This window comes from Homo sapiens, chromosome 8 (genome assembly GCF_000001405.40).
Source record: "Homo sapiens chromosome 8, GRCh38.p14 Primary Assembly".
In the NCBI taxonomy this organism is placed as follows: Eukaryota; Metazoa; Chordata; class Mammalia; order Primates; family Hominidae; genus Homo; species Homo sapiens.
The window spans coordinates 117,511,161-117,520,548 of NC_000008.11; the positions used below are offsets into that span (position 1 = coordinate 117,511,161).

The 9,388-nt window shown below is 41.6% G+C and overlaps 1 long non-coding RNA gene across 7 annotated transcripts in view; it reads right to left on the bottom strand.

The window, feature by feature from the left end:
* LOC105375716 (uncharacterized) overlaps positions 1-9,388 on the bottom strand; it is a 436,284-nt gene that overhangs the window by 426,724 nt on the left and 172 nt on the right. For 6 of the 7 annotated variants that reach the window (XR_007061067.1, XR_928569.3, XR_007061068.1 and 3 more), the window contains exon 2: positions 7,879-8,017. This is a non-coding gene — a long non-coding RNA (uncharacterized LOC105375716). Of the gene's footprint in view, positions 1-7,878; positions 8,018-9,299; positions 9,384-9,388 lie in introns of those variants that run through there. The other variant, XR_928568.4, reaches the window with a different exon arrangement.

Consider the following 9,388-nt stretch of genomic DNA (forward strand, 5'->3'; position numbering starts at 1 on the left):
ATTAGCGTTCAAAGAACAAAGGAGGTGCTAGTTGTGTGTTTAAGCTTTAATTGAAATACACATTAGAACTATGTTTGAAAATAGACCTTAAAAATTCTCCAGTGCTTATTCCAGAGCTCTGCATCTGTGGACCTTCCATTTTTGATCATTAGGACAATGTTGGTAGAAACCACAGTTTTTTCCTCTAAAGACATTTTTTCCTAATGTACAAGCCTCAAAAAGTAAGTCTCCAGGATTTCATGGCACCTTGAGCCTCCATCTTTTGGCTCAGTCACTGAAAGGGACTTTGTTATAGGCCACCAAGCGTTTATCAAATATTCATGACAGGTCTGGCACTGTGCTAGGCATTTTGGAGAAGAAAGGGGTACATGGAAAGAGTCACTATACCTGCTTCCATTCATGTAAAAATTAACTTTGAATACATACAACAGTTAAGGAATAACAGCAGTATAATAAATACCTTGTAGTGGTTAAACTATAAATGCAATTAAAAGAGCAAAGAAGGCAACACTGAGACAGAGAAATAAGCAAAGGGTCTTGAGTCTGGACTTGAGAAAGGTAGAGGGAAATCAGCAGAAGTGGGAGAAAAATTCACTATCATTCATTCATTCAATGAATATTAAGAATCTACCATGCCGAGGCACTGAGCAAAATACTAAGAACACAGTAGTGAACAAAAATGCACTAATCCTTGCCCCCATAGGTTGCTCCCAGCCTACTAGAAGAAGCAGTTATTGAATAAACAGATATGCAAATAAAAATACAATTGCAAAAGATTATTAGTGCTGTGAAGGAACAGTGCACAGGTGGAAAAGATGCAAGAGCCGAGGAGAGAGGACATGAGCAGAACACACAAAGCCCCCAGGGGATGTTCAGGATTCCAGATTTTAAGTGCAACATTGTGACCAGCTGGTGAAGAAAGCATGCCCTCTAAGGTCAAATAAAGTTGACTAAATAAAGGGTACACTAGGCTGCTACCGAAGAACAACTTCACTCCAGTCTTCTCTTCTAATGCCACCAGCCTCTCTCCCAGATCCTGCTTCTCTTTGGGTTCACTTCTCCTCTGGCACCTTTCCCTTTGTCTAATTCACTCTTTATTTCCCTATTCAAAGTCCTAAGAAAGACAATCTGATTGGTCCAGGTTATTACCTTCAATCCTGCTTGGGTAAAGCTTTTTGTACCAGAGCAGGTTACACATCACTGGCCAGCCTAGAAATTGGTTGCCCTTGGGCCAGATGGTCATCCTGATCCAATCAGCTATGACCAGGAGTCATATGGCACAGAAATGGCTAAGGAAGAAGAACCTAAGATGGAAATGAAGATGGCAAATACCATTGCCAATGTTATTTGTCAACCTCCTTAATACAGCAAAAAAAAAAAAAAAAAAAAAAAGGTTGCTCTAGTAGAGTGAAAGTAAGCAATAGAAGGCTTTGAAAATCAGAGAACTGAGCCTTTTTATGGAGACCACTGAAATCCTACAAAGGAAATATGCAGAGACTGACATGATGAAAGCAGAATTTCAGGAAGACAAGTGAATTTGTCTTCATTTTCTATTTCTTTTTCTATTAAACCATACATTGAGATTTAAAGGTCATAATATTTTCTCTTACCCTCTCAGATCAAATGTGATGAGAAATCGGTACAGAGAGAGATGAAGGTAAAATAGCAGCCTAATTATTGGTAAAGCTAGATTACAGAATATGGCTTAGCATTGACTTCCCCTTGAATTGACTGCCAATCCCTGGCAGGGCAGGGACAGAGCCCAAGAAGTGGAGGAGAAGGCACTATTCTGTTCAGAGGGCCAGTCTTAGGAAGAGAGAGAAAAGGTGGGGGCAGCCCAGACCCCAACTCACCACACAATCACCTCTTTGATCTTGGGAAAGAGTGAAAGAAATGCAGGAGCTATTTGTCACAACTGGTGTTTTCTGAAGACTTGGCATGTGGCAAGTAAGTCCTTTCCTGCAACATTTCTCTATCCTGAAGGCTTGTCATTCCTTACCCCTGATTTGCCTGTTTCATCCTCTGCCAATGCATAAGAGGTTCCCTCCTCCTCCTCACCATTCTGTTTCTCCTCACTCAAAAGTCTGCTCAGAATTCAGCCTTTATATAGGGTCCCCATAAGAGAAATATCTTGATTTATCATATCTTTATTTTTTATCACCCAGAATGTATAAAATATTTTATCATATGGGTATTTTTCACTTAATATCATTACCCTAACTCAACAAAATTGGTTGTAAAACCATTCTTTCTGAAGCAAGAGAACTATGCACTTTTTAAAAACAAACAGCCTACTCTGCTTTTTCAAATGTCACCCATTAGAAAATAAAGCAGTAGATTTTTTTCTGGTTTGGGGCAGGGAAATTGTGGGCACTATAGGTATCATTGAACATGAATTCAGTCATTCTAATACAGTACAAAATCTGAAGACTACTTTTTAGGCTGTTAACAATAATTCAGAAGATATTTCCCTGTAGTACTCTGAGAAAAAATATGAAAACAGAGAAGTTCAAGAGAAGCTATAGCAGAAAATAGTACTGGAAATTCTGGCAGGTGAATTATTTGCTTTATTCTCTCACTACTCACCTTGAAATATCGCAATCACAAAGATCTTAATAATTTTTATTAGTTTGATGACTATAAAACTTTAAAAGAGGGAGAATATTTACTTCTGGCAAAACAAAGAAACACCCATTATGTGGTAGCACATGTGGTTGTAAGACAATCAACCACAAACAACTGGCAACTTCACACATAACTTGACTCTTTTTATCCCAAACCATGTTTATTTAATTACAGCCTAGTGCCTTCATTAACGATGTTTTCAAATATCTCTTGATCCTGGCTAAGTGTTTCTAAATATTGACGTTGGGTAACAATAATTGTGACATGTATAAAAAGGAGATATTAGGCAATTAAACTGTCCAAAACAGTTGACCAAGCCATGCAAATTCTCTAAACCTAGAGGAGGATCAGTCTTGAATGTGAAGCTGTGACTTAATTCATGCACTTCTTAAGTATGAGATTCTAAGAGAGCATTGGGAAGCATAGGAAACCTTTACTAATGAACCTTCAGGGACCAGTTAGCACAGTGTGTTAAATTGGAATGCTAATTAGGTCTAGGCAATAGTTTAAATCAACCTAAATGCTTGTTAGTTTGACCAATTACAGGTGCCCAATAAGTGTTTGTTTGAATTCAGTAATTCTCTGTCCAGAGGGAATATTCTGGTTCATGAGTGGCTGAATTGAAAAATATAAGCTATTAGTCATGAATAAATTGCATATAAACTGGTGCATTTCAGCATTACTACTGGAAGTCCAAGGTCGCAGCAGTGATGGCTCAGTCAGGTCCCTTTCCTTTGGTAGGTCCTATGCAGCGATATTTCCAAATGGTCCTAGATTATTTTGAAGCTTTTCCATGGCATGTGTAATATAATGGAAAGTACAAGAGTGAAACATCTGGGTTATAAGTCAGTCCAGAACCACCAAACTATTTAATGACAAAGCAAGTCTAGAACCCACTGTGCTGACTTGTGGGGAGTTTTCCTTCCATTGTGGCCCCTCAAATCTCTCGAGTCTACATTTCTCCCTTTCCTACCCCCAAAGCCGGCTGCTTTCCCCTCAGTGTATTCTCAAATATTGAGTCTTAGGTTCAGACTAAATACTGTAGCCTGTATGTAGACTTTTGATTCAACGACTGGTATCCTGACTCCACAAAACCATCCCAGAATTGTTCACATGTCTCCCAGGTGGTAGAAACTGCAAAGCCCAACACTTCCCATAACAACATACACAAAGATAGCTCTAATCCTGCAATTACACAAGAGCCAGGGGCACTGCTGCAGGTAATGAGTCAGGTCAAGAAGGATTCTAGTTTGTCTTTTGGGTAATTTAAAGCAGAGGCAATGAATCATTGTGTTAGAAGAAACGACTTTGGTATCAGACAAAACCACATGGATCTTAGGGCAAATTTCAAATTTGCCACTTCGGCAGTAGCAAATTAGTATTAAATTCAGTTGTATGTGACAGAAAACCCCCAAATAAGCACTTAGCTAGCTAAGCTGTAGCCATGATTTCTGCATCCCAGCTAGTAGGAAGAAGGAACTGGAGGCCCCATTCTTCTAAGGACAACTGCCAGTAGTCTCCCACGTCATGCATACTTACAGCTGATGGGCCAGAACTTAGTGAAATGTCCCTGTCAAGGCTGAAGGAAGGCTGGGACATACAGCTTCCACCCTGGGTGCCCTGCTAAAAACCAGATATTCTCTGGCTAAAAAAAAAAAAAGGCTGGAGATGGTGGCTCACGCCTGTAATCCTAACACTTTGGGAGGCTGAGGCAGGAGGATCATGAGTTCAAGAGTTCAAGACCAGCCTGACCAACATGGTGAAACCCCATCTCTACTAAAAATACAAAAAATTAGCCAGGCGTGGTGGCACGCACCTGTAATCCCAGCTACTCGGGAGGCTGAGGCAGGAGAATTGTTTGAACCTGGAAGGCAGAAGTTGCAGTGAGCCAAGATTGTGCCACTGCACTCCAGCCTGGGCAACAGAGCAAGACTCTGCCTCAAATAAAAAAAAAAAAAAAAAAAAAAAAAACGGCAGAGGAGATATTGTATAGAAATTAAGACTCTGTTCCATTCCCTTCCTAACTATGGGACTATGGGTAATAATTTTGTACTAAAATCTTCTTCTGTGATTTAAGATAATACTTCCTTTGTGTGGATTATTTTGCTTAACCTCTCAGCGGTGTCTGACACTGTTCAGCACAAGCTCCTTCCTGAAACAATCTATTCTTCCTGTGACTTCCATAGCCGGACTCTCCTGATTTTCCTCTGACCTTTCCAGTTCTTCCCAATTTTTGTTGTTAATGGTGTTGCCTCCTCTTCCTCTTTCTGTTCCTTAGTGTTCCCATTGGCTCTGTCCTGGAACAGCTTCTTCCTCACTTCTCACTTTATCCATTTTCCTCACCGTTACCCATGGTGGAAGGAAGTATAGTGCACATTTATTGAATGCTTAGTATACACTAGGAACTATAAGTGTGTTATATATAGCATCTCACTTAATCCTATCAACAATCCCAAAGCTAAATACCATTGTTATTGATGGAGGTTGGTGTCATCTGTCCACTGTTGAGTAATGCCAGGTTTGGATTTTAGTCCAGGACTATCTGACTCCATGGATTTTGAGCTTACTATCACACCCACCCACCTTTCTCTAACCATGTAAAAGGAAAACCCTACCAGGTCCCAGCACACACTCAATTGCTTACTGGATATATCCACTGATGATCATGCACACATTTCAAACCCAAGATGCCCCCGAGTAAACTCCTGGTTCTTTCATCAACTATTTATTGAGCACTTATTATGTGCCAGGCACTGCTGTAGGTGCTGAATCTACTGAAGTAACCAATAGAAACAATCTCTAATTTCATGAGATTTACTGTTTAGCTGAAGGGACAAACAGTGAAAGAAACAACATCAGTTTGAGAGAAACACTACAAAAAATGAAGCAGGCTAAATGGACAGAGAGATGGAGAGGGCTGTACTGTAGGTGGAATAATGGCCCCACAAAGATGCAAACCCTCTAATCCCTAGAAGCTATGACTATGTTGCATTACATGAAACAGGGAATTTTACAGGCGTGGTTAAGGTTAAGGGTCTCGAGGTGGGGAGTTTATCTAGAATAACGTAGATGAACCCAGTATCATCACATAGGCCCTCAAAAGTGAAAGGTTAGAGGTATGTGACAAGGACAATGGAATAAGATGCAGGAGAAATTTAAAGCATGAGAGAGACTTGCCTGCCATAGCTGGCTTTGAAGATGGAGGAAGGGACCACAAGCCAAGGAATGTGGCATCTCATAGAAGCTAGGAATGGCTGTCAGTTTACAATCAGTAAGAAAATGGGGACATAAATTTCTGCTGCTTTAAGCCACTAAATTCTGATATTTTTTTCCAGCAGCAACAGAAGACTAATGCAGGCTATTTTTTTTCTTTTTTTTTTTTTTTGAGACAGAGTCTTGCTCAGTCGCCCAGGCTGGAGTGCAGTGGTGCGATCTCGGCTCACTGCATGCTCCACCTCCCAGGTTCACGCCATTCTCCTGCCTCGGCCTCCCGAGTAGCTGGGACTACAGGCGCCCGCCACCATGCCCAGCTAATTTTTTTGTATTTTTTAGTAAAGACAGGGTTTCACCATGTTAGCCAGGATGGTCTCGATCTCCTGACCTCGTGATCCACCCGCCTCGGCCTCCCAAAGTGCTGGGGTTACAGGTGTGAGCCACAGCACCCAGCCTGATGCAGGCTATTTTAAGTAGGGTGGCCAGAAAAGGCCACTGTAAACAAAGCCTGGAGAGATAGCTGAGAGAAGAGCTTCCCAGGCCAAAATAAATGAGTCTGAAGTGAGATGAACTTGGAGTGCACAAGGAATAGTAAGGAGGTGTATGTATCTGGAGTGAGGGGAGAGCTGTGGGAACTGAGAGAGCAGGAACAGCCTAGGCCAGCACATGTGGAGGTGTGCAGGTCATGCAGCTTTGGATTTTATTCTAAGCACGATGAGAGGACAGGAGAGCAGGGGAGAATCATAACCTGACTTAGCTTGTAAGTTTGCCTGTGGGTGCTGTAATGAGTGTGGACTGGATGGGGCAAGTGTAGCAGGAAGGGAGTTCAATTAGGAGACTCTTGATTGTTATCCAGCATTCTAAATAAGAGAAGACAGCTTGGACTAGGTTGAAAGGGGTGAAGTAATTGGTCACATATAGGATATATTTGAAAGTCAGAGTTCATTCTATTTTCTGATGACTTGGAAGTAGGGTGGGAAAGAGAGAAGCCAGGATGGGCAACTAAATGCATGGTGGTGCCAGACAATGACATGGGAAAAGTGTGGTAAAGAAGGTTGGGAGGGATCAAGAGTTGGGTTTTCTTAGACATAAGTTTTAGATGCCAAATAGCCATCCAAGTCAAGATGTCAGGTTTTTAGGTATGTGAGTTTGAATTTAGGGACAGTTTGGATTGGCGGCATGTGGTAGGCAGATTTTAGTTACTCCCCGAAGATGTCCACATCCTAATTCCCAGAGTCTGTATGTCATGTTACATGGCAAGGGGCGATTAAGGTAGCAGACGGAACTGAAGCTGCAAAACAGCTGACCTTAAAATAAAAAGATATCCTGGATTATCTAGGTGGACCCGATGTAATCAAAATGATACTTAAATGAAAGAGAGGCAGAGGACTCAGAACCAGAGATATGGCATATTCAACTAGCCAATTCTGGCTTTGAAAAGGATGAAAGCTGGTTTTTGCAGTTGGTGGAAGTGGTCATGAGCCAAGCAATTGCGGCAGCCTTCTAAAATCTGGAAAAGACAAGGAAACAGATTCCTTCTGAGAGCCCCCAGAAGGGAACACAGCCCGCCAACACCTTGAGCGTAGTTCAGCGAGAACAATTTCAGACTTCTGAGCTAAAAAGCTATAAAATAATAAAAGGTGTGCTGTTTTAAGCCACAAAGTTTGTGGTAATTTGTTACATGTGCAATAGGAAATTAACATAAGGCATAATTTCTCGGAAACTTATTTTTTCTTCAGTGTATCCTGTCTTGGTAAATGACATAAACTTCACCTGAAGTTTCACATGAAAGCAGAAATACGTGCCATCCTTAATTCTTTCCTCTCCTTAATGTTCCTGATCCAGTTACTATCAAGTTCTCTAGATTCTACTTACTAAATATTTATTCAAAGTTACCCTCTGTCTCCTTTCTCTGCACAGGTCATGATCATCATCATCATTCCCCTTTGGGAGAGAAGACAATAGAAACCCACCATCTGTTCCCCATTTAGCAACCAGAATAAGTGTTCTAAAATGAATATTTCAAATTATTCCTCTCACCTTGAAACTCTTCAATGGCTTGCTATTTCACTCCATAAATTCTCAACTGCTTGACATGGGTTAGAAGATCCTCCAGGGTTGCCTCTGTCTTCAGCCTTATTTCCTAACACTCGTCCTCACACTGAACTTCTTCCAGATCCTAGAAAGCATTAGGAGGCCTCTTCACTTCAGGTGTTGGCACTGGCCTTCCTCGTCCTCATAGAAAAGACTCTATCATTCGTTACTCCCTTCCCTATCCACCTTCAGGTTCCACACTGCTCCCTTCAGGTCGTTCTCAATCTCCTAAATTGTTAGCACCCTGATATCAGGAACTTTTGCTTCAAGACGCTCATCACAATAGTGTTCTGTTTGTCCCCATGACAAACATGCTGCAGGGCTTTTGCCTGGTTTGTTCAGTACGCTATCTTCACTCCTAGCACCCAGCACATAATAGGTGCTCAGCCAATATTTGTCGAATGGTAATTACCGAAGACCTGCGAATTACTATGTTTAAAATCTCTACCAGGGTTCCTATGACATATTTAGTAACTATTTCCTGGAAAGTCCGTACAATGGAGCATTCAGATACTTCTAAAAAATGCAATGTTTGTGCCTATCACTAATTTTACATTCTTCACTTTTCCCCACTTTGGAGATGAACAGTAAGTGAGAGACATTGTGAGAGACATTTTAATTTCTCTTGCATTTATCATGTCACTCAACAATCATTCAATAAGTATTTATTGATACTTGTGCCAATCACTAGGTGTTGAGAATAAGTGAATAAAATAGTCTGTTTTCATGGAGTTGGCAGTGTGTGTAGATAGGGTGAGATAAAGTCTGAAAGTAAACAAACTGAAAGCTATATAAAATATCAGACAGTAGGCCGGGCGCGGTGGCTTATGCCTGTAATCCCAGCACTTTGGGAGGCCGAGGCGGGCGGATCACGAGGTCAGGAGATCGAGACCATCCCGGCTAACACGGTGAAACCCCGTCTCTACTAAAAATACAAAAAATTTGTCGGGCGTGGTGGCGGGCGCCTGTAGTCCCAGCTACTCGGGAGGCCGAGGCTGGAGAATGGTGTGAACCCGGGAGGCGGAGCTTGCAGTGAGCCGAGGTCGCGCCACTGCACTCCAGCCTGGGTGACAGAGCGAGACTCCATCTCAAAAAGAAAAAGAAAAAAAAATCAGACACTAATAAGAGCCAGAGTCAGAAAGAAGTGTGTGTGTTGATCATTTTTTTTGCTTACAGATACTGGGAAAACTCAAAGAATAAAACATCTGAGCAGGGACCAAGAGCAATCGGGGAGTCCGTATCATGTCACAGAGAAGCGTACAAGCTTAGGAATCTTGTTTTCTGAATTCGAATCGCAGGTTGCCAGTTACACCTGTATGCGACTCAACAAGTACTTTAACCTGTCTCTTAGCTGTTATACTACAAACCTCAGGCTTGTTAAGAGAAAATGCTCCGCAAGGAACTAAACACAGAAGGTTCTAACGCTGAGCCAAGACTGGGAAACGAACTCTGGGAA